This window comes from Homo sapiens, chromosome 7 (assembly GCF_000001405.40).
Source record: "Homo sapiens chromosome 7, GRCh38.p14 Primary Assembly".
In the NCBI taxonomy this organism is placed as follows: Eukaryota; Metazoa; Chordata; class Mammalia; order Primates; family Hominidae; genus Homo; species Homo sapiens.
In genome coordinates this window covers 128,889,281-128,916,409 of record NC_000007.14, presented here as the reverse complement: position 1 = coordinate 128,916,409, position 27,129 = coordinate 128,889,281, and the positions used below count along the sequence as shown (strand labels likewise).

Sequence of the window (27,129 nt, the reverse complement as noted above, 5' to 3'; positions counted from 1 at the left end):
TGGTCCCTCCGGTCGGGGCCGGCGCGGTGCAGAAGAACCCAGCGCAGCCCGGGCAGAGTCAGCTCGGCCCCGCCGCCCCACCAGTGCTCAAGGGCGCAGCCACGCAGGAGCATCGCAGACAGGTGGGTCCCGGCCGCCGCTCTCTCCTCTCCGCGTCCCCGCGTCCCCGCGTCCCCGCGTCCGGAAGGTGGTGGGAGCGGTACCGGCTGTTGCCCACCCACAAGTCTAGGCCTCAACCAGGGCCCGCGCCCCTCAGGCACCTGCGGGCGACCGGATGAAGACTGGAGTAGGGCGGGGTCCGCGTCCAGCTGCGCCTGGAGACCGAGCTTCGGTGGGTGCCTACAGCAGGGCGCGCCCCGCCGGCCTGGGACCTCCCAGGCGCCCCTCACGCCCCGATCCGTTTGAGGTGCTGGCGCCCAGGGAACCCCAAGGCCCAGGCGGCGAGGTCGGCACCGCAGCTGGGGGCGCAGGCTCTGCTGCTCCCACCCCCCCACCCCCACCCCGCCATCGCCCAGAATGGGGGCTCCCAGGCGCCCTGCTGGAGGCTGGCTTGGTCCACAGAGGAGCGAGGCCCGATCCTTACTTTCGATGCACTCGCCCTCGCTCTTCCCGGGTCACCCTAACCCTTTCGGAAAAAAAGGTGGAGGTTTAAAGCGTTCATCCCCCGGGATCTTCAGGCCAATGGCAGGAATTGTGCAAGAGTTTGGGGGAAGATAGTGTCAGGTAGAGGCTCCGTCCGTCCCTGGGCTCGCGGCCGGGAATGGTAGACGCCGGCCCCCAGAGCAGCGGAGAAGGATGGGGCGCAATAGTTCCTGGGCTGGTTTCTGTAGGTCTTGTCCCAGAACTTAAGAAGGCAACAATGAAGAGGCTGAACGTGGAGGAAAAGTGAGACTAGCATGGCTGGGATTTGGAGGAAGATGGCGAGGACCAGCGCTGGCCTTGAGCGGTTGTCTCCGGACCCGGGAGGGCGGGAGCAGGTGCCCGGGAGCAGAGGCGGGAGTGGGGGACTTTCCCCAGCCTCGCGGCCCCGCTGGACACAGCAGGGCGAGGACCGGGGTGCTGCTCTAGCAGCCGAGGAGCGTCCCTGGGGGTGAGGGTGGCTCCACGGGCTGGCCCAGGGGGTGTGCCCCCGCGGAGCCAGCGGGAGGGGTGGGGGCGGAGGGGAGGGGGGAGGGGGGCGGAGGGGAAGCGGGGAGCGGGGGCAGAGGACTGGAGTGGGCCTGGGCCCCCGTGGACCCAGTCCCCAGGGCCTGAAAGTGCACCGGCTGTGTCCACAGAGAAAACTGTCAAGACCTCCCCTCCCCCTACCTCCATCCTCCCCCTACCCCGTAGCTGTCGGGCCTGGGGCTGGGGCTGAGGGGATCCAAGAGTCTAGGGAGTCACTGGGAAATCACCCCCTTTCATCTGAAGGCCCTACTTGGGGGTTTTCCCCCTGTACCCTGGTCTTCCCCCACCTTGCCTCTCGGAGGAAGCCGAAAGAAGCTTCTTTCTGGGCACCTGCTGCCCCAGAGCCTCAGCCTGTTTGGACCAGGCAAGCAGCAGGGCCTGGGGTGTGGACAGCTCACCTGGAGGGGTGGGATTTAGGATCAGGCCCAATGCAGCAAAACCTTTGTCCTCTCCCTGAGCTGGGTGTGGGTTTGCAAGGAGACATGCGACCCAGAACAACCCTGGAGGCAGCAGGGCGCCTGCCGTCTGGCCACTCTTACTAGGACTGCTGTGGCACTTCCTCCCCTAGCAGCCCCCTGGTACCAAAGCCTTGCAGCTCCTGGAGTGAGGGGACTGTCGCCTGGGACTCCACTGGGGCCCTGGGGTTGGCTGTGAGATTTTACCAGCCCGTCGGGAGCCCTTGTGCATCCCCTCCTCATATTCCAGGTCTGGGGCTCCCCCAACAAGTTTATTTCCTTTTCCCCTAGAGCCTTTCCAGTCCTCCCCATTGATCCGCCTCCTCCCCAAAGCTCTCCCAGGTTAGTCCAGCCACACTCAGCTTCCCACATTTTAGTGCTCATGCGTCCAGAGCTGACACAGCCCATCAGGCACTTGCCTTCTGCCCTCAGACTGCTTCACACAGTGTGGGGCTCTGCCTTCCTCAGCCAGGACAGGGCATATCACCTCTCATTTGCCTGGTACCCAGCACAGCTAGGCCAGTGCCCCTCAGAGCAGGTACGTGCCGTGGACTGCACACTGGACCCTGGTTCCTCCTGCCCCCAGGCTGGGCTGGCAGGCAGGGGCCAGGCTGGGCATGGGGCAGTGGCAGCCCCTCACAGAGGCTGCCCAGGGAGCTGAGGCACAGCCCATCTTGGGCCACAAGCCCTTCCTGCCCTCAGCCTTGCTACCTCTGGCCCCCAGGTGTGTCATCAGAGATCATGTGAACGCCCTGAACGCCTGCTCGGGGACCTTGTCTGTCACCATTGATGGCCCCACCAAGGTGCAGCTGGACTGTTGGGAGTGTCCTGAGGGCCACGTGGTCACTGACACTCCCATGGCCCCTGGCAACTACCTCATTGCCATCAAGTACGGTGGCCCCCAGCACATCGTGGGCAGCCCCTTCAAGGCCAAGGTCACTGGTGAGTGCCGGTTTGGGGGAGGTCCACCCAGCCTGCAGCCCAGCCCAGCCTGGAGGGCTCCGGTGGCCACGCACATCTAGGCCATAGTCTGCCCCCAGACATCATGGTCAGTTTACCAGGGCTAGAGGTGGGCCTGGCTCTACACAGTACACGTTCTGTGGAGTCGGGCATGATCATGTAAAAATGCCATTCTTCCTCTCCATCGTGGCCCCTCACTCCTTCAGCTCTGGCCTGCGCTGGCTCCTCAGGCTCTAGCACCACTTTCTTCCCTCCTGGCTTCCCATATTCCTCCGCTCCAAGAAGACACAGTCGGTATTGAGCAAGCTTCCCCTCTTGAGGCTGTCTGTAGGATGAGTTGGGTGGGTGTTCCTTTGTAAAGTGGCTCTTACCCTGTGAGTTAGCCTGAGTTCCCAGACAAAGCCTGCAAGGATGAGGGACGCAGCATCTGAGGCCCCAGCCCTAGGGTGGAGCACCAATTGGAGCTGGCAGCTCAGGGCCCTGGCTGGGAATGGGGCTGTGCTCCTAGAGTGGCCCTTGGAGGAATTTGGGGGGGAACCTCAAATGCAGGCAGTGAGTCCCACAGGGTGGCAGTGCTGGCCGAGGGTCCCCTGCCTGGGGAAGAACGGGAAGCCCTTCTGACTAGGTTTGTGCCCCCTCCACCCACCCCTCAGGTCCGAGGCTGTCCGGAGGCCACAGCCTTCACGAAACATCCACGGTTCTGGTGGAGACTGTGACCAAGTCCTCCTCAAGCCGGGGCTCCAGCTACAACTCCATCCCCAAGTTCTCCTCAGATGCCAGCAAGGTGGTGACTCGGGGCCCTGGGCTGTCCCAGGCCTTCGTGGGCCAGAAGAACTCCTTCACCGTGGACTGCAGCAAAGCAGGCAGGTGGCGGGGGGAGGGCGTCTCCCGGGGTGTGAGCAAGAAGCCGTCAGGGAGCAGGGTGTGGGTCACAGTAGGGGACTCCCTGGTGTGAGCCTGTCCCTCTGCCTCCCTCTCCAGGCACCAACATGATGATGGTGGGCGTGCACGGCCCCAAGACCCCCTGTGAGGAGGTGTACGTGAAGCACATGGGGAACCGGGTGTACAATGTCACCTACACTGTCAAGGAGAAAGGGACTACATCCTTATCGTCAAGTGGGGTGACGAAAGTGTCCCTGGAAGCCCCTTCAAAGTCAAGGTCCCTTGAGTCCCAAAAGTGCCTCCCCAGCCTCAGCCCCCACCTCCAGCCAAACACACATTACATACACACACACACACACACAAATGTGCCACACCCAGACACACACACACAGAATCAGACACTACAAACACCTGCCTTGGGGGTGAAGTGAAGGCCCAGCCTCCCCACCCCACCGCACCCCAGGGGTTGGAGGACCTTTTCTGTGTCAGGACAGTGTCCCTCCCTGGGAATGTGATATGAGGGCCGACTGGGGCCAGGCTCAGTGGCAGAGGCTAAGACACAAGGGACTGGAAGGGGACTGTGGGGCGAGGGAAGCCCTGTGCATCCTCCCAGTGTGGTTTAGAGCTGCTCACCCTGATTCTCTCTGATTCTTTCTGTAAAATGGGGATGGAGGTGCCCCCATTCTTCATAAGGGAAGTAAAAATTGCTCATACCTCTGTGCCAAGCACCATGCATTACTAATCCTTACAAACACTCCATGAGGTGGGTGCTGTTAGAGCTCCAGTCACAGTTCAGAAAAATCAGCCACCAAAAGTGAAGTGACCAGCCAGAGGCCCCAGAGCAGAAAGCAAGAGCTCCAGGATGCGCCCTGGCAACCCTGCCAGAATCTGTGCTCTGAACCGTCCCACTACCCAGCCCCTCAGAGGACTTGCTTTCCAGAGGCACCCGGTCAATGAAAGCCACCTTCCTTAAACCTGCCAGGAATAGTGCTGCCGCTTCCTTGTTCCTCTTCTGGCTGGCTGGCCCTGGCTTTCCTCTGTGACCTCAGCTCCAGGCACTGAGGCCAGGTCTTAGCGTGGCATTGCAGCCTCCCTGCCCCCTGTGGCAAAGGCTCAGGTCCACTATGGGCCCAGACTCTGGGGCAGAGAAGCTGCCGTCTCCTTACTGAAGCTTTAAGCTTGGTGGAGAGTGGGCTGGGGAGACCTCAGTCCCTGCCTGGTCTAGGGGGAGGGGTGGCTTCCGACTTCTGGTCTTTATGACAGGGAGGGAGAGCTTTGGAAGGGTTCACAGCTCCGCCCTCAATGTTCCTTTTTGCCTGTGAGCTTCGCCTGTGAGACCCAACCCTCTGCTTCCCAGCTTCAAGGAGGAGTTTCCCAGCCTGTGGGCCCACAGGGACGGCTGTCCTCACTTCCTCCCTTTGGCCCCCTCTGCCTGCTGAGCCCAGGGCCCAGCCCTGCCCCCTACCCAGGCTCACCCCACAGCCAGGCCTGAGCTCAGGAGTGGGAAATGGGGCTGAGACCAGCCAGTGAAGGGCGGCCTTGGCATTTGGGGCCAAGCCTGGGACTGCTGGGGTGGGTAGGGGTGTTGAGTGGAGTTCAGGAAAGAAACTTATAGGGGAGAGAGGAAAACACTGGTCGTGTCCATGATTTCAGAGATCAGGAGTTCTTATTATTATTATTTGTTATTTACTGAGCATTTACCATCTCTCTACCGACTCTAAATTCTTTACTTATATAATCTCACTTAATGCTCACTGCAAGTCTATAAAGTAGATGTGGTGATCCCCAGTTTACAGATAGGGAAATTGAGGCACAGAGAAGTTAGTGGTCTAAGGCCACATGGAATTGGCTGAGCAGGGATCTAAACCCAGCTCAGTCTGCTTCTTCTGTAAACTTGTGAGAGAGAGGAAAAATCGATCTGGAAACCCTAGGGCGATGGAGTAACCTAAAAGGGCAGGGAGACTCTCTAGGATCCCGAGAGGGGTGGACTTGGGTTTATTTTCTTTTCAGGGTCTCCTCCTGGATCTTAAGCGGAGACAAGGCCTACACCCCCGTTGGGCTTCCTGCGAGCTGGAGCTGCTCTCTGGGGTCAGGACCGGCCGGGCCCGGGGCGGGTGGAGGTGTGCATGGGAAAGGCGCGCGCGGTGGGGGGTTTGAGCCCTCCCTGAACAAAGCCTGGGTGGGAGCGGCCTGTGTGTCCCCACCCCGCCTTCCCCAGCGCCTGCTGAGCCGCGACGACAGACGGCGAGCCGAGCGAGGCGGAGCTAGCATGGCCGGGGTCGGGGCCGCTGCGCTGTCCCTTCTCCTGCACCTCGGGGCCCTGGCGCTGGCCGCGGGCGCGGAAGGTGAGTCCAGGTGCGGGAGGCTTGGGGTCCGGCCAGGTGCGCCCCCTCCCTCCTATCAGCCCGGCCTGAGGGGGCCGAGAGGGGCTGGGGGCTCTGCTCTTAGCCCTGCCTGAGGTTCGCGCGCCTCCCTGGCCAGCTCCGTCCTCCCCGTCGGGGGAGCGAGCAGGGTGGGGAAGACCACGGCCAAAGCAGGGGGTTCAGGAGAGGGGGGCGGTTCCTGCAGCCGGCGGCGGGAGAGAGTGCGGCTGCCCTGGCATCTGGGAGTCTGAAGTTAATTATTTGTCTTGACGAAGGAGGGGGAGAAAAGGGGCCCGCTGTGGAAGCTGACTTTGCATCTGTGTCTGGCCCTCCCCGGAGCAGGACAGGCGGGAATGGAGGGCTCGGTGCCGGCACGGGGCCAGGGGAGGCTAAGAGGGGAACCCGGGACAATTCCTTGGGGACCAGCCAAGTTTGTGCCACTCGGAGCTCTTTCTGCAGGTCTCTCCAGGCGAGGCTGGCCCTAGCTTCACCTAGGGGTCCCAGAGGATTCAGCTTCTCCCGGGCTCCCATATCCTGCCTGCCTACTTAAGCAGAACTGGAGGAGTGGCCTGGGAGGAGGGGCCCTGGGCAGCAGGATGAGGCCCCACGGGAGTCTAGATTGGGTAGAAGGTTTCAGATGCTGAGACGCCCATCGTGGCCGCCCTCTGTGTGCTTGGGAAGGACTGAGACCGGGTGCCATTCCGGGTGACAGGATCCCCAGTAGAGGGACGGAGATGGGAAAGGGCACCTGGGGTTTGAGGGCCAGTATTCGCCCAGGGTGCGGGAACTGAGTTAGAATCCCTGATATAAGCCAGAAGTAGCGGGGCTGGAAAGGTGGGCGGTGCTTGTGATCCATCCCAGCGGGACTTGCTCCTGGGAGACTTCGGCTGTGTGATTCAGAAAGGTCGAGTGGAGAGAAGGGGCACAGATGGAGGCAGGGACGCTTTGTCTTCAGCCTTCTGAATGGAGATGGTGGAGAGAGGAGAAGGGGGGGATGTATTAGGGGACAACTCAGGCAACAAAATAGGGGAGCTGAGCCCCAGCTTTCTGGCTTAAGTAACTGGGTATGTGTGATGGCATTAACCAAGCCAGGGAACTTGGGACAAAGCAAGTTCAATTTTAGCCTAGAATCCCCTCTGCCTTTGATGGTGACAGTGGGTGACATTGTTCCCCTGTCTCACAGGCCTAGTGTCTGTGAGAAACCCTTTTAAGCCACTCCAGGCCTGGCCTCACTAATGAGCTGCCATGGTGGGAAAGACCCATCCCTCTCCCTCCTCCTCTCTCTGTTCCTATTGCCTCCGCTCCAGACCCTCAACTTCCCTGCCCATCCCTGCCTGGAGGAGGGACCTATGTCTGCCTCTTCCCCTCCTGCCTTTACTTTCTGGGCTGCAGGAGAAGGATCAAAGTGAAAAGGTGAAAGTGGCCGCCCCTAACCCCAGGCCAGAGCTCAGAGGTGCCCCGTCCCTCTTTCCTGGACATAGTGTCTTCTAGAAGCAGGGACAGGCTGTCTTCACTGGATCTGGTGTGTTCAAAGTTAGCAGGGGCCTTGCCAGCACATTTCTCACACCCTTCAGAAAATGCAGCCAAGTCCCACTTTTGAAGCCCACCCCACCCAATGTGGGAGCCCCCAGGAACCCCTGTCACAAGCCTGGAAAACCGTGCTCAGGGTTGGGGGCGGGAGCAGTTGTCCTTCCCTGAGCACATTCTCCAAAAGTTGTGGCCTTTCTGACAGGTGCAGAGAGTCAGGGGATGGGGGCTGCTCATGTTCTCCCTGAAAAGACTCTCAGCCAGACCCCAGACCCCTGAAAGCAGCTCCACCTGGCGCATGTCTGTGGCCTTCCCCTGCGTTTCAGCCTGTGCTGGCTTCCCGGCCCTGGATGGTGGGTGGGCAATTGGAGAGGGCAGGGTGCACAGGATGACCCCCTTCCCCTGTGGGTCAGAAGACAGAACCCAGAAAATGTGGCCAGGCCAGCCCCTCACCCTCAGGCCCACATGGGATTCTTGTGCCCTTCAGGTGGGGCTGTCCCCAGGGAGCCCCCTGGGCAGCAGACAACTGCCCATTCCTCAGTCCTTGCTGGGAACTCCCAGGAGCAGTGGCACCCCCTGCGAGAGTGGCTGGGGCGACTGGAGGCTGCAGTGATGGAGCTCAGAGAACAGGTACCATGGAGACAGTGCTGGTTTGCATTGGGTAAGGAGGGCTTCTCATAGTGGGAGGGAGAGAAGGAGTTAGGCTTGGAGGGGGGAGCCTAAAATAGAGCTCTTATCTGAACAATTCCCTTTCTTTCTTTCTTTCTTTCTTTCTTTCTTTCTTTCTTTCTTTCTTTCTTTCTTCTTTCTTTCTTCCTTTCTTCTTTCCTTCCCTCCTTCCTTTCTTTTTTTTTCTTTCTTTTCCTTCCTTCCTTCCTTCCATCCTTCTTCTCTCTTTCTCTCTCTCTCTTTCTTTTTTTTTTTTTTGAGATGGAGTCACCATGTGTCACCCAGGCTGGAGTGCAGTGGCACAATCTCAGCTCCCTGCAACCTCTGCCTCCTGGGTTCAAGTGATTCTTACGCTTCAGCCTCCTGAGTAGTTGGGACTACAAGTGTGCACCACCATACCCGGCTAATTTTTGTATTTTTAGTAGAGATAGGATTTCACCACGTTGGCCAGGCTGGTCTCGAACTCCTGACCTTAGGTGATCTGCCCGCCTCAGCCTCTCCAAGTGCTGGGATTACAGGTGTGAGCCACCAGGCCTGGCCAGAACAATTCTTAACATTGATTCTTTCATGCAAATGAAGAACCTCCAGGCTATTTGTTTTGTCAGTTCGTGTTTCGTACTGTTCCATGTATTTGGGGAATGTTATGGAATGCATTCTATATAAGGCATCATCAAAAATATTTTGGATGGGTAAAGATGTCTTTAATTCTTGGGGCAAGGGTTGGGTCCCCATTTTGTCCAAAGGAGAGATTGGGGCCCGTGCCCCCCTGAGAATGGTGATCGTTTGAGCTGGATGCTGACCGAGGGGGACCCATCTCTGCTCTGGAATTGGCGAACTTCTTTCTCATCCTGCCTCATTTTCACACCCCTCATCTCTACTGGAGATGGTGGGGGAAGCTGAGCCAGTGCCTGCTATTCCATCTCCTTCCTCCAGAATAAGGACCTGCAGACGAGGGTGAGGCAGCTGGAGTCCTGTGAGTGCCACCCTGCATCTCCCCAGTGCTGGGGGCTGGGGCGTGCCTGGCCCGAGGGGGCACGCTGGGAGCCTGACGCCTGCACAGCCTGCGTCTGCCAGGATGGGGCCGCTCACTGTGGCCCCCAAGCACACCTGCCCCATTGCAGGGGTAAGTGCCACCCTATCCGCCCACTGGGGCCACCTAAAGACCTGCAGATGGCATGGGGTGCTTGAGTGACACTGCTGTCTCCTTAGGCTGCAGCCAAAATGGCCAGACCTACGGCAACGGGGAGACCTTCTCCCCAGATGCCTGCACCACCTGCCGCTGTCTGGTAAGCTCCCAGGACCTACCTGGATATCCCTCACCTGTCTGCCTCTCTCCAGCTACCTGTCACTGCAGCGTGGCACTCAAGATGTCGCATAATGGGCTCTGCCTGCCACTCCCACACCTTGCCACGGTGGCTTTCAGTTGATTCCGAGTAGGAAAAGGAGCTCAATGCCCACGGACACTGGGGGGTCCCCAAGCCACTCAATTCAGACCTGGCCAACAGTGGCATGGAGGGCAGAGAATGTATTAGGTTGGTGCAAAAGTAATTGCGGTTTTTGACATGACTTTTAATGGCAAAAACCGCAATTACTTTTGCACCAACTTAATAGTTGCTTGTCCTCCTATATCACCTCCCACTCTTCCACTGCCCATCTTCTACTTCGGAACCCCCTGGCCTGCCTATTCTCCCTCACCAGTTGCCACATCCACCTTCCCCCAGTCTTTCCTTCCTCCTTCCTCCCTGAGAAAGTCTTCGGTCTTCTTCCTAGGATCTCCCCTCTCTGGGGAATGTGCTGGCACCTGGAAGAGATGGTTTCCTAGGGTTAAGAGCATCAGGAGACGATGGGAGTGGGGGCGGGATGTCTCTTTTCTGCCTTTACACAGAGGGTAGCCCACATCCACAGAGCCAACTCATCCTCTTGCCCCTATGACATGTCCCAGCCTGGGCTGAGGTTTTACTTCCAGAGGCCCTGCCCTCCAGGAATCTGATGTCTGTGCAGCCACCTCAGTCTGCTCCCACAGGAAGGTACCATCACTTGCAACCAGAAGCCATGCCCAAGAGGACCCTGCCCTGAGCCAGGAGCATGCTGCCCGCACTGTAAGCCAGGTCAGCCTCCTGCCAGTCTCAGCCCCACCTCCTGCTTGCCTTCTCTGGCCCACAGACACAGCCTGCCACCTCAGTGAGTCTGGGACATGCCCAGGGGTGCCTACCCACTCACTCTGACAGTGGCCAGGGGAGTGCAGAACCCATGCACAAATCAGCAAATACTGGCTCTGGCCTGGGACTGAGCCAGAGACCATAGGGAAACAGGCACAAAATCTTTTTCCTGCCCTCAGGGAGCCTCCAATCTAGTTGAGAAGATAAGCTCATAGCCAAGCTACCACAAGATTGAAGACCCAATGAGCAGATTAAGAGGAGGTGTAGAAGGCAGTGCAGTGTGTATTTTGCCAGAGGAGGGCACAGGAGGCAGGGGAAGCCCGTCGAGGCTGGGCAGTCAGGGGGCCTTTACAGACAATGGGTCCTTTGAGCTGGGTCTTCATGGGAAAGTGGGGTTCCACCTGAAGGAGAGGGAGTACGTGAGGTTCCTCTGGGCACAAGGACAGGGTGGAGAGAGGTGGGTTGCAGGAAGTCCATGTGGGAAGGCCAGTGGGAACAGGCTGCTGTAAGCCTTGCAATTAGGACTTTTTTCTATGGGCAGTGGGGGGTATTGAAGGCTGAAGCAGCGTGTGGCATGGTCAAGGGGGCGCTTGAGGAATATTCACCTGGTGAGGGCTAGATGCAGACAGAGGCGTCGGGGCTGTGACAGCAGTTGTCTAGGCATGGAGCCAGGGATGGCAGTGGGCTGGAGAAAGGGGGATGTTTCTAAAGGACGGGCAGGAGCCGGTGACTGGCTGGGTCCCCTGGAATAGTGGAGGCCGAGCTTGGGACACTAGGATAGCAGTGGTGCTGGGGACATGAAGAGAGCTGGGAGGAAGAGGAGGTCATGGCTATGCAGGGGGGTGTTACTGGCTCATAAGGTGATAGTGTTGCCAGATTTAGCAAATGAAAGTCTAGAATGCTTTGTTAAATCTTAATTTCAATAAACGGCATGTAAGTTTTTAGTATAGGTATATCCTATGCAATATTTAGGACATTCTTATACTAAAATTGACGTCTTATTCTTCTGAAGTTCAAATTTTACTGGGCATCCTATATTTCATCTGGAAGCCCCTCCGAGAGAGGAGTCTCAGTTGGTAGTAAGAAAGGTGGGACAAGGACTCAGACCAGTTGGGTCTGGAAATGCAGCCTGGAGTGCTGGCTGGAGATGAGGACTAAAATCTTGGGGGTTGATGGATCTCAAAGAAAAGACACACAAAGAAAAGACCCCTGACCCCCGCTCCCCCAACACACACACACACACTCTTCAGGGCACGTGGTGCCTCAGGGCCACTGCTAGCCTATATGATGTCTTTGGTGAAATTTTAAAAGGCACCCTTTCCTCAAGACACTACTTCCATCTGTTGTAAAATAATGGAACCATGCTGATGATGTGCCTATCGGACACTTTACTGCCATCTGCTGGAAAGGGGTAGTAAATATCAAAGTCTCTGATGTCTGTCACGTGAATGGTGCCCCTTTAATGTGGCACCCAGTCCTTTGGGTCTCTTACTTGGGGGTCTGGGCCTGGTTTTCCAGGCTGCCCCAGGGCCACGGGGTTGGGGAAACATGGCATCCAGGGCCCTGTGTCATCTGCACCTGCCAGGTAAAGGAATCAGCCACCACCCACATCCCTGCTGCTGGGCAGACTGCCGGCCTGACCATGCCAAGCCCAAATGTGGGGGCTAGGCAGGGCTGCTACTGCCACTGCCCAGGCATCAGGGCTGAAGCCTGCTAGGCCTGCAGAGTAAGCCAGCTCTGGCAAAGGAGAGGGATGGAACAGGAAGGGACGAGGAGGGAGAGCAGGAGAGAGAGAAAGAGGGAGGATGGTGGGGGAAGGGAGGGCTGGCTCAGTGTCTGCCCTGCAGACAGGAGCCGTGCAGTGCCAGGGGCCCTCGTGTTCAGAGCTCAACTGCTTGGAGAGCTGCACCCCACCTGGGGAGTGCTGCCCCATCTGCCGGCCCGGTGACCTCCTGCCCTGTCCTGCCCTGCCCCGCCATCCCTTCAACCCCAAGGGTCCAGTACCTACTTGGGGTCATGCCTTACCTCAAGTGATGTCCACCCACCCTGCTGCCTGGTGACCCACTTGTCATCCTGCCAACCTTCCCAGGCTGTGATTATGAGGGGCAGCTTTATGAGGAGGGGGTCACCTTCCTGTCCAGCTCCAACCCTTGTCTACAGTGCACCTGCCTGGTGAGTCCACCTGTCCCCTCTGCCCAGGCCCTGCACCTCCCTGGACACCTGCCCTGCCCTGGGCCCTGCCTGCCACTCCTCCAGCCCCCTCACATGCCTCCCGAGAGGTGGAGCCAGCTAGGTTCTCCCTCCATCCCTGCCCTGTGCCCCCCTCCTCCGAGGGTGCCCAACACCCGCCCACCCAGCCCTCTGCGGGAGCCAGACCTGAAGCCTCACAGCCACTGGTGCATTACAGAGGAGCCGAGTTCGCTGCATGGCCCTGAAGTGCCCGCCTAGCCCCTGCCCAGAGCCAGTGCTGAGGCCTGGGCACTGCTGCCCAACCTGCCAAGGTGAGAGCCCCTGGCCCCTCCCTGGTAGAGCCACAGGTAGGTTGTCGTGCCATTTCTTGAATTCCAGAGCCCACCTTGCCGGCCTCCAGTGGGTTTGGTCCGTGGCGGAGCTGGAATGCCTGAGCTCAAATTCTGCCATTGCCACCTAGTGCTTGTGTGACTCTCTTCCTCAATTTCCCCATGTGTAAGGTGCAGATAATGATATTCCATGCCTCATAGTGCAGCTTAATAAATGTTTGCTTTCTACTTTGTGCTCCCCAATCATGAGACATGGGGTCAGCCCTCAGGGATGACCCCTAGAGTGTGACACTGAGTCATACACTAATGCAAAATCTTGTAACAGCCAAGGGCAGGAATAGAAGCAGGCACCAGCTAGTGTGCGAATTCAGAGGAAGGAGACCGAATCCAGCCTGGGCACAGGAGGGAAAGCGTCCTGGAGGCAGCTGGTCCCCAGGTGGCCCTTAAGGATAAAGAAAAGTTAGCTTGGTGAAGGGCTGAGGAAGGCAGTGAGCCTTCTAGGAAGAGGGGAGAAATCAAGCACAGGCGTGGCCCTGACACGGAGGGTGAGTGTGCAATGTTGGCTGGGAAGGTGTGAGAGGTGACGAGGGGCCAGAGATAGGTGGGGCACATGGGTGTGGCTATGCTCTGTCCACGGAAGACCAGAAAGGGCGGGCTAAGGAACTGAGGCCTCACCCTGCCTGGGGCACTGGGAGCCACTGGGGAATCTAGGCAGAGATCTGACCCCATCTAGTCTTGGCTCGGGAGAGAGCCCTCAGAGGGCATGTGGACAAGGAAGGCGGGCAGGCTGAGGCTGGGGTCCAGGCCAGCTCCCACCAGGCCTCCCTCTTCTCAACCCCTCAACCCTAGGCTGCACAGAAGGTGGCTCTCACTGGGAACATGGCCAAGAGTGGACAACACCTGGGGACCCCTGCCGAATCTGCCGGTGCCTGGTGAGTCCTGAGGCTGCTCCTGGTCTGTCCCCCTCCCTGCCCTCAGGCCCACTGTATTCATTTGCTCATTCTATGGAGTACTTCGCAGAGGTGTTGAGAGGGGACCCAGTGGAGAAGACCTAGGCGCTGTCTGCTGGGGGCTGTGCAGGCGGGGGCTGGGCAGAGCTCATCTGCGTGCCCAGCTCTGAGCCCAAGAGGTGCTCAGCCCGGGTTAGTGAATGAACTCAAGGAGCTCACAGGCTAGAGAAGGAGACCGGGCAGGATATGGCGAGCGGCAAAAGCTCCAGAGTAGGGGAATCACGGTTTGACCTGAGGCATCTAAAACTGTGCTGTCCAATTCACAGCCACTACTACCTGTGGCTACTGAGCACTTGACATGTGGCCAGGTTCAAAATGAGATGTGCCATAAGTGTAAAATACATGCCAGATTTCAAAGACTTCCTATGAAATAGGGGAATGTAAAATAGTAATCCATTATATGTTGATTACATGTTGAAATAACAGTTTGGATACATTGGACCAAATGAAATATGTTGTTAAAATTAATTTCATCTGTTTTGTTTTACTTTTAAATATTTGTGAGGCTGAGCATGGTGGCTCATGACTGTGATCCCAGCACCTTGGGAGGCTGAGGCAGGAGGATCACTTGAGCCCAAGAGTTTGAGACCAGCCTGGGCAATGTAGCAAGACTTTGTCTCAAAAAATTAAAAAACATTAACATTTGCTGGAGCACTTAAAATGACATAAGTGGTTAACATTGTATTTCTACCGGGCAGCACAGATCTAGAACATCTTCATGGGTGGGGTGGTGTTTACTTAGGCCTCAAAGGGTAAGTAGGATTTGAGCAGGGAAAAAGAGGGGAACGTACCCCAGATATAAGGAATAGCCTGGGGGAGGTAGGGACATGTAAGCCGTGAAGGCCAGGTGGGGGCACCTGAGGAGGGCTGTGTTTCATGGGAGCTTCCTGACAGCTTGCTGAGGACTAAGGACTCTGTGCGAAAGCTACAGGGCACCCAACCCCACTGCAATTGTTACAGGAAAGGGGTCCCAATCCAGACCCCAAAAGAGGGTTCTTGGATCTCGCGCAAGAAAGAATTCAGGGCAAGTCCATAGAGAAAGGTGAAAGCAAGTTTATGTGTTTTTTTTTTTTGAGGCGGAGTCTTGCTCTGTCATCCAGGCTGGAGTGCAGTGGCGTGATCTTGGCTCACGGCAAGCTCCGCCTTCCAGGTTCACGCCATTCTCCTGCCTCCGTATCCCGAGTAGCTGGGACTACAGGCGCCCGCCAACACGCCTGGCTAATTTTTTGTATTTTTAGTAGAGACAGGGTTTCACTGTGTTAGCCAGGATGGTCTCGATCTCCTGACCTCGTGATCCGCCCCCCTCTGCCTCCCACAGTGCTGGGATTACAGGCGTGAGCCACCACGCCCGGCCAAAAGCAGTTTATTAAGAAAGTAGAGGAATAAAAGAATGGCTACTCCATAGACAGAGCAGCCCTGAGGGCTGCTGGTTGCCCATTTTTATGGTTATTTCTTGATGATATGCTAAAAAAGGAGTGGATTATTCATGCCTCCCCTTTTTAGACCATATAGGGTAACTTCCTGACATTGCCATGGCATTTGTAAACTATCATGGCCCTGGTGGGAGTATAGCAGTGAGGACAACCAGAGGTCACTCTCGTCGCCATCTTGGTTTTGGTGGCATTTAGCTGGCTTCTTTACTGCAACCTGTGTTATCAGCAAGGTCTTTATGACCTATATCTTGTGCTGACCTCCTATCTCATCCTGTGACTTAGAATGCCTAACCATCTGGGAATGCAGCCCAGTAGGTCTCAGCCTCATTTTTATCCAGCTCCTATTTAAGATGGAGTTGCTCTGGTTCAAATGCCTCTGACATTTTCCCTCTCCCTTTTATAAGAGAACCCTTGATCCTAAGGGGTGCAGAGGGACAAAAATCCATCTTTTGTAATTTCTTCAGGCTGAATAGGGGCAATGATATTCCTGCCTAACTATTAGGGTCTCTCTCTCTTGTGTTCAGGGTACAGAGGTGCTTAATCAGAAAGCATCGGCATGGCGAGGGCCATTCATAACTCTGAGTTCCAACAAAAGTTGATATCTGGAAGATTAATAAAAGTTTAATTTAAGAAAACGTTGAGTAAGCTTATCCTTATTCCTACCCAAAGAGTACAACAGAAATATATTCCACAAGAGTAAAGCAAAATCAGTAAAATTATCTCAAGTAAATTAAATCAGAAGGCTTTCCATGAACTGGGCAACTGTTGGAACCAAGCTGATATGGGGTTGCTAGATGATTCCAGTACATGCCCAGAATTAGAATATTGACTCCAGATTTTTACATAACCTGTCCTTTTTGTTTCTTTTGAGCAGCAGCCAGAGAGCTCTGGTTGGGTCACAGGAGCAAGCAATCAGTCTAAATTGCAAAAACTTAAAAACAACTGCTGAGACTAGAATTTAATAACAAGTATACCATAGTTCTTGAAATATAATATTTCTGTCTCTAGTTTCCCATTTTTACTAAAGACTAATCATGGTAACACTGACTTGCTTTATTATATTTGGCCTGATTATTTGTATAAAGTGCCGCAAGAATGATTATTTTTTATATAAGCTCTTTGAAATTGGCTTTGATGGAACTCTGTTTCATAAAGAATCTCAGATAAGATTTTTTTTTGAGCCAAGCCTTGCCATGGGTTTGTGCCCTAAAATACCTATGAGTTGAGTAAATTCCTCTCCTTTTGAGGTTCCAAGATAACTTGGGGCTCCTGGGCCTGTTAGAAAGTGACATTCTTTACTTACCACAGGTCAGAAACCCTGTACAGAGACTGTGTAGGCAAGGTATGAGGCCGGTTTCTCCAAGGGGCATTTATTGGCTCTACAAGTCAAATTTGATTCCTTAAGGAATCATGATTCCTTACATGATTCCTTAAGGTATGCCATTCCAGTCGAAGCCTTGGTAAAATAGCCAGTTTCTCCAATTGTGACCTGTTACAAAAGAAAACAGATTCTTATTGCACTCATGCAAATAGCTATATTGCCATAAATTAAGAATACTCACAAATAGTTTCCAAATTCTGGATAAATTAGGTAGAGAGAAATAAATATGCTCCAATTTTGTTCACAGGAGTATACTTTACTCAATTGCCAAAAGCTGTAAATAGCTCAGAAAAAGTGTCCTTGACTATGAAAAACAAAACAAAGGATCAGCAATGTTTTGAGCAAAAAGTCAAATAGATAATGTCAGAGTCCATGCAGTTAACTTCTGTTTGATACTCATGAACATTTCAGCTCAGCTCTCTGAGTTCTGAAAGTTTTTTCTTCTATTCTGATGTCACAATCTCCAAAGTTATCAGAAAACCTGCATTTAAGAGCACCTGTTGAAGTCCTATAGTTGGTTATAAAACCACCTTTTAAAGAGGGTTAAAACAAGACAACAATTGTTTATGGATGGCAAAAAGTTTTAGGACAGCCGCTATTAAAGCCACAATTGATAAGGAAATTTGGTTACTCTTGTGGCATATAATAATTTCACATAACAATTATAATTATTAATAACATACACTAAGTCATATCAGCATTATAGGAGTTTCTTATAATTTTGGAACACATACCAGTAACACATTTATACAAATACAGCCCAAAGAAAACCAAATACCATTTCATATTTGACAATACTTCCCATATGACTTTTATACCAAATAAGCCAAATGTCACTGTTGCACGGGTGCATTATTGATGTCAAACCCAATTCTTAATAAAACCTTATAGACAAATATATTTCTTAATCAGTTTGACTATAAGGTAAGATTTTTATAAATGTTTTATAACCCTTTACAAATTTTTGTTAAAGAGCAGATTACAAGCAGGTTTTGCTTTAAGAAAAACCTGTTGTACTTTTATTCCAATGCTCAATTTACAGAAAAACTGAATAATACCCCTTTAACTTTAACCAATATGTTCACACACAATTTCTTTTACAAGATTAATTTTTCACAAACCTTCCACAACTTGCTCAAACCTTCAGCTTTATTCTATCTAACTTAAAACAATCCTTTAACTCTCTAAACTTAGGCTAGAAACCCACATTCCCATGACTTTTTATAATCTTTTACCAAAAGCACATTCTACTTTTCTTACATGCCTTGCATGTAGAACTGCTTTTTCAGTAGTCTCAATTACATGTTACAGTGTTAATCCTTAGCAACTTTTACTTTTGGTGAAAACCTTGGTAAGTTCAGGATTTTAACTATGTACTAGGTGTGGAGCCTAGCCTAGGACACACCAGGCAGAAGTGCAGAATAAGGTCTGACATTTTCCAGCACAGCTAGGGGTGTGGCAAACTCCACATGTCCCAGGCCTTACCTAACTGTAAAGCAGGCAAGTTGTATAGTTAAGAGTCATAGTGGGGCTGGGTGCTGTGGTTCACACCTGTAATCCCTGCACTTTGGGAGGCCAAGGTGGGCAGATCACTTGAGGTCAGTGGTTTGAGACCAGCCTGGGCAACATGGTGAAACCCCATCTCTACTAAAAATACAAAAATTAGCTGGGCATGCTGGTGCATGCCTATACTTCCACCTACTCAGGAAGCTGAGGCAGGAGACTGGCTTGAACCCAGGAGGCAGAGGTTGCAGTGAGCCAAGATCGCACCATTGCACTCCAGCCTGGGTGAAAAGAGTGAGACTGTCTCAAAAAAAAAAAGAAAAAAATAGTCACAGTGGCATTTTATGACACATTTAGGAGGCCTAACAACCTTTAAATTGTACAACATTTCTTGCATAAATTCCCTTTCATGAATTCTTTCATGACTCACACAGACAATCTACAATATGCTTGGGACTTTCTGACTTGTCCTAAACATTCCTCTTTTTAAACAACCAGTCATTTTACTTTAGGACAAGAGTTTACCACACAAGATCCTTTCTTATATAAAATCTCTTTGCTTTATAACCTTCTTTGCATAGCTAGGAGACATGGCTAATTCCACATGTCCCCAGGCCTTATCTAGAATCTAAAGCTCCAAAATAAATTGGATAATTTTCAAAAGTCAAAGAAGCAGGTTATGACCTTAAAGCATTTAGCAAACCTAATATCTGACCTGCATAATTTAGACCAAATGTCTACATTTTTGAAGATATTTTTATTTTATCAATAATCTTTAAAACTGTCCTTATTTCCCAAAGATTACTTAAGTCACATGAACTAAAAGGCATTAGACTTTTTACTTTTCTGACAAAATAAGCTCTTATTAAACCAATTAGTTAAAGCTCTTTTCTATATAAACATCACACACACAACACATATAAATACACAGACGAAAGAAGATAAAGGACTCATCCTCTAAGTTGTGAGCTGAACCCTGAACCCAAGTCACCATTGTGATGGCAGAGACCAAGAGAAAGTACTGCCATGTGGTTACAAGGTCAAGTTCCCAAGGACATACAAGACAAGGGAAACCTTATCCAGTTATTTTTCAGGGACTTGCAGCAAAGTTTGTAACTGACAAGTTTGCTGGGCTGTCTTGCAAAGCAGGCTTACAGGTGTCCTAAGCCTGTGTTCTATTCTAAGGTACCTTTCTTTATGACAGAACAATACAGAAAGACACACAAAGCATACCAGATTCACTATAGCTTAAGACTAGCTCACACATTCTTCTTTTCCATTAATCAAAACTTTGCAGAGGAAATAAACAGTGATTATTACTATTCATTCACCCAGCTTGCAGTGGAGGGCACAGGGGGACACATTGCCTGAGGCAGAGTGGGAAAGGCAAAGTGCTCAGGGAGGCCAGAGAAAGACCCACCTATTGCTCAAAAGTTTGGATGGCTGTGTATCGGTAGAGAAGGGAATTTTTTTTTTTTTTTTTTTTTTTTTTGAGATGGAGTCTTGCTCTGTCGCCAGGCTGGAGTGAAATGGCGCCATCTCAGCTCACTGCAACTTCTGCCTCCCGGTTTCAAGTGATTCTCCTGCCTCAGCCTCCCAAGTAGCTGGGACTACAGGCGTGTGCCACCACGCCCAGCTAATTTTTGTATTTTTAGTAGAGACGGAGTTTCACCGTGTTGGCCAGGATGGTCTCAATCTCTTGACCTCGTGATCCGCCCTCCTCGGCCTCCCAAAGTGCTGGGATTACAGGTGTGTGAGCCACCGCGACCGGCCATGGAGGGATCTTTTTTGGCAGTCCTATTAGCTCTTAAGTTTTCCCTTTTAGGGAGGAAAAAGCTCCGCATGTCCCACGATCCTGTACTTGCCTAATCCTGTCACCCATAGCCGTCAGCAAAGAGTACAAGGCAGATTAATCCCAAGAGAATAGCAGTTAACATCCCGTAGTGCCAAACCCATTCTTAACCGGGAGGGATTTTACCCAGAGGGGCCTCTAACCCTCTAAATATTAGAAGGGACTGTAACCCTCCCCAGTTGGGCCTCTATCCCAAGGTCCATCAAGCATCCTTGCCTTTTATTAAGAGAGGCCTCTAATTCCCCTAAGCTGGGCCTCTAACCCAATCCCATTATTTACCCGGGTATATGCACCCCACTTACCCACAGTCCGCCAGTCAGTGCTGCAGCCTATTTCCTTCTGGTCGGGGGGTTTCTTCAGTATTGTCCCTTCCATGGCTCACCAGAAAGATATTACCAGACCCCACCACTTACCAAAAATTAGCCTTTGGGTCGGGGGTTTCCGCACTATCATCCCTTCAGTGGTCGCCAGAAAGATGTTACAGGAAAGGAGTCCTGATCCAGACCCCAAGAAAGGGTTCTTGGATCTTGCACAAGAAAAAATTCAGGGTGAGTCTATAAAGTGAAAGCAAGTTTATTAGGAAAGTAAAGGAGTAAAAGAATGGCTACTCCATAGACAGAGCAGCCCTGAGGGCTGCTGGTTGCCCATTTTTATGGTTATTTATTGATGATATGCTAAACAAGGGGTGGATTATTCATGATGCCCCCTTCTAGACCACATAGGGTAACTTCCTGACATTGCCATGGCATTTGTAAACTGTCTTGGCACTGATGGGAGTGTAGCAGTGAGGACGACCAGAGGTCACTCTCATTGCCATCTTGGTTTTGGTGGGTTTTGGCTGCAACCTGTTCTATCAGCAAGGTCTTTATGATCTGTATTTTGTGCCGACCTCTTTTGTCATCCTGTGACTTAGAATGCCTAACCATCTGGGAATACAGCCCAGTAGGTCTCAGCCTCATTTTACCTAGCCCCTATTCAAGATGGAGTTGCTTTGGTTCAAACGCCTCTGACACAACCACGTCCTCCCTCTCCCCACCCATGAGAAGTCATTGGCTGCTCAGACCCTGATGGGGCTGGAGGCAGTGAGCCCAGTGATGTGGGTGTGAATTCAAGGCATGGGGTCTTTTGGGGTCAGGCCATGGGGTAGTGGCAGTAGCCACCATGCTAAGTACCAGCTTCTAGAGGTAGATGCCACACCAGCCCCCTTGTTTCCTTTCATCCCACAACAAGCCTATGAGAACAGGACTATTTTTTCAGGTCCATTTTTTTTCAGACGAGTAAACTGAGTCACAGAGAGCTTAAGTGACATGCTAGTTTATGTATCTGTATGAGTTTCCTGGGCTGCTGTAACAAAGTGCATAAGTGCATACTGGGTGTCTTGAACAATGTAAATATATTCTCTCACAGTTCTGGAGGCCAGAAGTGTGAGATCAAGGTGTGGGAGGGTTCCTTCTGGGACTGTGAGGAGGAATCTGCTCCAGCCTCTGCCCTCGCTTCTGGTGATTTGCTAGTGAACTCTGGCATTCCTTGGCTTCTGCAGCACCTGAACCTCTGCCTTCTCTTTTCCATACCATTCTCCCTGTGTGTGTCTGTGTGTGAATTTCCCCTTTTTAGAAGGATATTGCCTGGAACAGTGGCTCACACCTGTAAACCCAGCACTTTGGGAGACCAAGACAGGTGGATCACCTGAGGCCAGGAGTTTGAGACCAGCCTGGCCAACATGGTGAAACCCCATCTCTACTAAAAATATAAAAAATTAGCTGGGCATGGTGGTGCGTGCCTGTAATCCCAGCTACTTGGGAGGCTGAGGCAGGAGAATCGCTTGAACCCAGGAGGTGGAGGTTACAGTGAGCTGAGATCACACCATTGCATTCCAGCCTGGGCAACAAGAGCAAAACTCCATCTCAACCTGCAACCTGCAAACCTGCAACTTGTTTTATCAGCAAGTCTTTTTTATCATCTCAAAAAAAAAAGATACTAGTTATATTGAATTAGGGACCCATCCTGCTCCAGTATGACCTCATCTTAACTAATTACATCTGCAATGACCCTGTTTCCAAATAGTGTAACAGGCTGAGGTGCTGGGGGTGAGGAGTTCAACATATGGATTTGGGGGCGGGGACACACAATTCAACCCATAAACACATCTAATAAGTGGATAGCTGGGATTCTAATGCCATTTCCACCTCTCAGTTGAGCCCTGTCGGCCCCTTCCCCTGTTCATTCTCCCCACCAGGAGGGTCACATCCAGTGCCGCCAGCGAGAATGTGCCAGCCTGTGTCCATACCCAGCCCGGCCCCTCCCAGGCACCTGCTGCCCTGTGTGTGATGGTGAGTCAGTGGGTAGGGCAGAGGCCTGACCATGGTGGGCAACCTGGAGAAAATTGATGGGTGGCCCTGCTCGGGGGCCCATGAAGGCCAGGAGAGGGTGGGGAGGGGCCCCTGAGGAACATCTAAGGCCCCCCTTCCCAACAGGCTGTTTCCTAAACGGGCGGGAGCACCGCAGCGGGGAGCCTGTGGGCTCAGGGGACCCCTGCTCGCACTGCCGCTGTGCTGTGAGTGTGGCTGCCTGGCAGGGAGGGCCTGGCTCCGGGGCCTGCCTCTGGCGTGCTGACCAGGCCCTGTTGGCAGAATGGGAGTGTCCAGTGTGAGCCTCTGCCCTGCCCGCCAGTGCCCTGCAGACACCCAGGCAAGATCCCTGGGCAGTGCTGCCCTGTCTGCGATGGTGAGTGGGGGCCGGGGTCTCTGCGGGAGGGGCAGGCCTTGGCTGCAGAGAGGCTGTAGGTGTGGGGGATTTGCTTCTCTTGGACCTAAGCCCCTGTTACCCTGTTCCCAAAGTGAGTCCTCACCACACCTTCTCATGGCAAACTGGCACCATGCTGGGGCCTGCGCTTCTGTGGCATAGCTGTGGGGGGCAGGGGGCTGCTGGCAGGGCGCCCTGGAGAACTCGGCTGGGTCTTCTTTGTCAGGGTGGGGGTTGGACACCTCAGGGTGACGTGAAGCTTCCCCTCTGCCTCCAGCCCTATACCCCCACGCCCCTGTCATCCCATCCAGGCTGTGAGTACCAGGGACACCAGTATCAGAGCCAGGAGACCTTCAGACTCCAAGAGCGGGGCCTCTGTGTCCGCTGCTCCTGCCAGGTAGGCGGTCCCTCCGCTCACACCCAGATCTGCCTCATTCCTTCAGGGTGTCTCACCTGCTTCCCTCCTAGGCTGGCGAGGTCTCCTGTGAGGAGCAGGAGTGCCCAGTCACCCCCTGTGCCCTGCCTGCCTCTGGCCGCCAGCTCTGCCCAGGTGTGTGTGAGAGGGGGAGGAGCAGCTGCTATGGGCGCTGCCTCTGAGGGCTGCAGAAGGAGGGTGCTCCTTCCCAGGACGGGGTACGGGTTGCTAAGTCCACTAGCCATTCTACAGTGTCAGCGGGGATGGCGAAGGTGGGGTCCCTGTGTCCTGGGAAGGACAGGGATGGGTGGGAGGTGTGTAGGCTGCCATGTGACAGCCCCCTTACTACAGCCTGTGAGCTGGATGGAGAGGAGTTTGCTGAGGGAGTCCAGTGGGAGCCTGATGGTCGGCCCTGCACCGCCTGCGTCTGTCAAGATGGGGTACCCAAGTGCGGGGCTGTGCTCTGCCCCCCAGCCCCCTGCCAGCACCCCACCCAGCCCCCTGGTGAGTGCCTGGGCTGATCCTGGCTTTCTTCCCCTGCATTACCCAGCTCACCCTGACCAGCCTGCCCCACCCAGGTGCCTGCTGCCCCAGCTGTGACAGCTGCACCTACCACAGCCAAGTGTATGCCAATGGGCAGAACTTCACGGATGCAGACAGCCCTTGCCATGCCTGCCACTGTCAGGTAACTGCCCAGCCTTGCTGCTGCCCTGCTGAGCCCCTCCTGGGCATGCCCCGATTGCTCTCTCCCCTGCTCTCTCGCAGGATGGAACTGTGACATGCTCCTTGGTTGACTGCCCTCCCACGACCTGTGCCAGGCCCCAGAGTGGACCAGGCCAGTGTTGCCCCAGGTGCCCAGGTATGTGGGCACTCACTGGGCCTGAGGGGATCAGGGCCCCAGAGGCTGCTGTCCCACAGCCCCATGGGCCCAACAGGTACCTTAGAAAGCAATGGCCTTCTGAATTGTTTCAGTCTTGTTTCAGAGCTTAGAACTCTCTGGAACTCACGGGGTGTGGGTGGGAGGGAGAGTAGAGAGATTTGTTTATTCCTGCCTGTACCTACACCACCCTCTCCTCCCATGCTCCATTTCCTCTTCTAGTAACTACTGCCCCCCGCCCCACCACGCTAGGGCCCCCACCCCCCTACCCCCCAGGTAAACCCATGTATCTACCTGGATAACACAGGTTCATGAGCAGGCACTTGAGCCTGCCACGTAGGAGGCCGGGTGCTGGGATGCATGGGACACGTCCCTGCCCGCATAGAGAGTCTGTGTGAGGGCGTGTGTCAAACACAGGTACACACATGTGTAAGCACTCCCCTTCTTCCCCTCAGAGACACACATCTGCCTGCAGGTGAATGACCCCCAATGCGCACGCACACTCGTGTGTGCTCACAACGATACACATGCCTGCACACATGTGCACATGGCCACTTCCTCCTCTTTCCCCTCGAGTCAGCTTCCAAGTGGGCACTTGTGTGGCGGCTCTGGACTCCAGGGCTGGAGGGACTGTCAGGCTTTGCCCTCATACCTGCCCCCACCATCCACTGCCCAGACTGCATCCTGGAGGAAGAGGTGTTTGTGGACGGCGAGAGCTTCTCCCACCCCCGAGACCCCTGCCAGGAGTGCCGATGCCAGGAAGGCCATGCCCACTGCCAGCCTCGCCCCTGCCCCAGGGCCCCCTGTGCCCACCCGCTGCCTGGGACCTGCTGCCCGAACGACTGCAGCGGTGAGGTGGGCGGGTCAGGGCGGCCTTCTGGGATGGGATGGCATGGCCCCCGGAAGGCAGCACGCCCTGGGGCAGTCGCCCTCTCCCAGGCTATAGCCCCTCCCTCCCCCAGGCTGTGCCTTTGGCGGGAAAGAGTACCCCAGCGGAGCGGACTTCCCCCACCCCTCTGACCCCTGCCGTCTGTGTCGCTGTCTGGTGAGTCTGCACCTGGGTGGGAGGCGCCCAGGGGAGTGGAGGCGGGACTTGCAGAGGCCAGGAGAGGCCCGCCCAGGTGGGAGGGGTGGGACCTGGTGGCACTGGGTGGGAGGGGTCTCCTCGGCCTCCCCCAACTAACCCACTGACCCGTGGTGCGTCTGTCGGTCCGTAGAGCGGCAACGTGCAGTGCCTGGCCCGCCGCTGCGTGCCGCTGCCCTGTCCAGAGCCTGTCCTGCTGCCGGGAGAGTGCTGCCCGCAGTGCCCAGGTAGGGGCCGCACCCCTCGGCTGCTCCTCCCTGGGGGTCCCCTCGGAGGCCTGTTCCTGGGCCCCTTTGATGCGCTGTCTCGCCGCAGCCGCCCCAGCCCCCGCCGGCTGCCCACGGCCCGGCGCGGCCCACGCCCGCCACCAGGAGTACTTCTCCCCGCCCGGCGATCCCTGCCGCCGCTGCCTCTGCCTCGACGGCTCCGTGTCCTGCCAGCGGCTGCCCTGCCCGCCCGCGCCCTGCGCGCACCCGCGCCAGGGGCCTTGCTGCCCCTCCTGCGACGGTAACGCCCTGGCGGTGCCCCTCCCGGCCACCCGCGTCCTGCCGCCCCGCCCCGCCCCGGAGCGCCCTGCCCAGTCCCCTTCCTCCAGGCCCGCTCCGCCCACGTCGGGGATCTTGTTAGGAATGTAGTGTCCGGTCAGCATGGCCTGGGAGCCAGCCGGCACGGCCCTCCATCCCCCACGGCCCCCAGCCCCCCACGACACCCATCCTCCACGGACCTCAGCCTCCACGGAGCCCACGGCCTCCCCGCCCTCACGGACCCCCAGCCCCCACGACCTCCAGCCCCCACGGCCCCCACGACACCCGTCCTCCACGCCCCTCAACCCCACGACCACCAAGTCCCCACAGCCCTCTAGTCCCCACGGCCCCCCAGCCCCTGCCCTTCTCCCCAGGCTGCCTGTACCAGGGGAAGGAGTTTGCCAGCGGGGAGCGCTTCCCATCGCCCACTGCTGCCTGCCACCTCTGCCTTTGCTGGGAGGGCAGCGTGAGCTGCGAGCCCAAGGCATGTGCCCCTGCACTGTGCCCCTTCCCTGCCAGGGGCGACTGCTGCCCTGACTGTGATGGTGAGGGTCATGGGATAGGGAGCTGCCGGGGTGGGATGCGGGAGACCAGAGGGCTGGGTCAGAATAATCTTTACTGCCCTAGGGTGGATCTAAAATATTTATTACAGTAAGAAAAAGCCCCGAGGCTGGGAGCCCTAGCTGAAGCCTGTGACCCCGACAATTTGGGAGGCTGAGGCAGGAGGATCACTTGAGCCCAGGAGTTCAAGACCAGCCTGGGCAACATAGAGAGATCTTGTCTCTACACAAAAAATTTAAAATCAGCTGGTCGTGGTGCCTCTTGTAGTTCCATCTACTCCGGAGGCTGAGGTGGGAGGATTGCCCAGGAGTTTGAGGCTACAGTGAACCGTGTTTTCACCACTGCACTCCAGGCTGGGTGACAGAGTGAGACCTTGTCTCAAAAAAAAAAAAAAAAAAAAAAAAAAGCCTGACACTAAAGCCTGGATCTTCTCCTGCCTCTGTTGCTATTTGCCGTGTGGTCTTGGGCAAGTTACATAGCCTCTCTGGGCCTAAATTTGGCTCTTGTAAAAAGACCCAGTCCCCCAGTCCCCCTGTCTTCCCTCACTCTTGTGCGATCTTGGCCATTTTGGCCACTTGCCCTTACCAACTGTAATTTTATTTACTATTTGCCTTCCAATTAACTCACTTATTAATTTAATTTGATTTAGAAAGGAGTTTTATATCACACTGTAAGTGGAAAATTAGACTTGCCAGGACCACATTACCATAAAAATGAATATAATTAAAATTATAATGTTGTTAAATCCTTGTCAGATACTTTTGCCCACCAAGGCTTTGAGCCTGAAATTCACCCTTCTTTTTTAAAAAGGGAGGTGAGCAAATGGCAGAGGTGCCAAGAGCGGGCTGTCACCACCCTGGGACCCCACCCCTTCCTGGATTCATCAGTGGGCTCGGAAGAGCGTGGGAAAGGCGCTACCTTGGGTCCACACCACCTGAGTCAGCTGGGGCTACTCCCAGCTCTCCGGGTTGGGAAACTGGTGCCTCTGGCAATGGCCTGCTGAGTATTTAACCCCAGGGGCAGCAGATTCCTTGTGGGTGTTTTTC

At 54.5% G+C, this 27,129-nt stretch overlaps 1 protein-coding gene, 1 long non-coding RNA gene and 1 pseudogene across 4 annotated transcripts in view, besides 6 other annotated features; 2 read left to right on the top strand and 1 right to left on the bottom strand.

The window, feature by feature from the left end:
* LOC392787 (filamin C pseudogene) lies at nucleotides 2,346-3,950 on the top strand (annotated as a pseudogene).
* Nucleotides 3,951-5,700: 1,750 nt separating this feature from the next.
* Nucleotides 5,701-27,129, top strand: part of KCP (kielin cysteine rich BMP regulator) — a 33,845-nt gene continuing 12,416 nt past the window's right edge. Inside the window, exons 1-21 of one of the 2 annotated variants that reach the window (NM_001366122.1) lie at nucleotides 5,701-5,809; nucleotides 7,842-7,984; nucleotides 8,957-9,146; nucleotides 9,233-9,309; nucleotides 10,047-10,131; nucleotides 12,272-12,354; nucleotides 12,590-12,683; nucleotides 13,551-13,633; nucleotides 22,117-22,210; nucleotides 22,355-22,434; nucleotides 22,511-22,604; nucleotides 22,934-23,019; nucleotides 23,091-23,172; nucleotides 23,389-23,541; nucleotides 23,616-23,722; nucleotides 23,803-23,896; nucleotides 24,591-24,764; nucleotides 24,877-24,959; nucleotides 25,132-25,225; nucleotides 25,314-25,505; nucleotides 25,897-26,067. In NM_001366122.1, coding sequence (NP_001353051.1) covers nucleotides 5,734-5,809; nucleotides 7,842-7,984; nucleotides 8,957-9,146; nucleotides 9,233-9,309; nucleotides 10,047-10,131; nucleotides 12,272-12,354; nucleotides 12,590-12,683; nucleotides 13,551-13,633; nucleotides 22,117-22,210; nucleotides 22,355-22,434; nucleotides 22,511-22,604; nucleotides 22,934-23,019; nucleotides 23,091-23,172; nucleotides 23,389-23,541; nucleotides 23,616-23,722; nucleotides 23,803-23,896; nucleotides 24,591-24,764; nucleotides 24,877-24,959; nucleotides 25,132-25,225; nucleotides 25,314-25,505; nucleotides 25,897-26,067 — 2,335 coding nt within the window. In that variant the 5' untranslated portion in view covers nucleotides 5,701-5,733. Of the gene's footprint in view, nucleotides 5,810-7,841; nucleotides 7,985-8,956; nucleotides 9,147-9,232; nucleotides 9,310-10,046; nucleotides 10,132-12,271; nucleotides 12,355-12,589; nucleotides 12,684-13,550; nucleotides 13,634-22,116; nucleotides 22,211-22,354; nucleotides 22,435-22,510; nucleotides 22,605-22,933; nucleotides 23,020-23,090; nucleotides 23,173-23,388; nucleotides 23,542-23,615; nucleotides 23,723-23,802; nucleotides 23,897-24,590; nucleotides 24,765-24,876; nucleotides 24,960-25,131; nucleotides 25,226-25,313; nucleotides 25,506-25,896; nucleotides 26,464-27,129 lie in introns of those variants that run through there. The other variant, NM_199349.3, reaches the window with a different exon arrangement.
* Nucleotides 11,547-12,051: an enhancer, noted in NCBI's record as "H3K4me1 hESC enhancer chr7:128544412-128544916 (GRCh37/hg19 assembly coordinates)". NCBI's record gives its function as "activates a minimal SCP1, AML or CMV promoter by ChIP-STARR-seq in naive H9 embryonic stem cells {active_cell/tissue: H9 hESC(naive)}" and the evidence as "EXISTENCE:reporter gene assay evidence [ECO:0000049][PMID:30033119]".
* Nucleotides 12,052-12,557: an enhancer, noted in NCBI's record as "H3K4me1 hESC enhancer chr7:128543906-128544411 (GRCh37/hg19 assembly coordinates)". NCBI's record gives its function as "activates a minimal SCP1, AML or CMV promoter by ChIP-STARR-seq in naive H9 embryonic stem cells {active_cell/tissue: H9 hESC(naive)}" and the evidence as "EXISTENCE:reporter gene assay evidence [ECO:0000049][PMID:30033119]".
* LOC105375497 (uncharacterized) lies at nucleotides 15,485-25,181 on the bottom strand. Of its 2 annotated transcripts, XR_927958.2 has the most exons (4): nucleotides 25,107-25,181; nucleotides 20,294-20,434; nucleotides 16,448-16,633; nucleotides 15,485-15,746 (listed from the first exon to the last, which is right to left on the bottom strand). It is a non-coding gene; the product is annotated as an uncharacterized LOC105375497 (long non-coding RNA). The 2 variants fall into 2 exon arrangements; XR_007060517.1 differs by lacking the exons at nucleotides 20,294-20,434; nucleotides 25,107-25,181 and adding an exon at nucleotides 19,089-19,312.
* Nucleotides 22,547-23,747: an enhancer, noted in NCBI's record as "CDK7 strongly-dependent group 2 enhancer chr7:128532717-128533916 (GRCh37/hg19 assembly coordinates)". NCBI's record gives its function as "activates an origin of replication core promoter dependent on BRD2, BRD4, P300/CBP, MED14 and CDK7 cofactors, with strong dependence on CDK7, by STARR-seq in HCT116 cells {active_cell/tissue: HCT116}" and the evidence as "EXISTENCE:reporter gene assay evidence [ECO:0000049][PMID:35650434]".
* Nucleotides 24,697-25,287: an enhancer, noted in NCBI's record as "H3K27ac-H3K4me1 hESC enhancer chr7:128531177-128531767 (GRCh37/hg19 assembly coordinates)". NCBI's record gives its function as "activates a minimal SCP1, AML or CMV promoter by ChIP-STARR-seq in naive H9 embryonic stem cells {active_cell/tissue: H9 hESC(naive)}" and the evidence as "EXISTENCE:reporter gene assay evidence [ECO:0000049][PMID:30033119]".
* Nucleotides 25,288-25,877: an enhancer, noted in NCBI's record as "H3K27ac-H3K4me1 hESC enhancer chr7:128530587-128531176 (GRCh37/hg19 assembly coordinates)". NCBI's record gives its function as "activates a minimal SCP1, AML or CMV promoter by ChIP-STARR-seq in naive H9 embryonic stem cells {active_cell/tissue: H9 hESC(naive)}" and the evidence as "EXISTENCE:reporter gene assay evidence [ECO:0000049][PMID:30033119]".
* Nucleotides 25,878-26,468: an enhancer, noted in NCBI's record as "H3K4me1 hESC enhancer chr7:128529996-128530586 (GRCh37/hg19 assembly coordinates)". NCBI's record gives its function as "activates a minimal SCP1, AML or CMV promoter by ChIP-STARR-seq in naive H9 embryonic stem cells {active_cell/tissue: H9 hESC(naive)}" and the evidence as "EXISTENCE:reporter gene assay evidence [ECO:0000049][PMID:30033119]".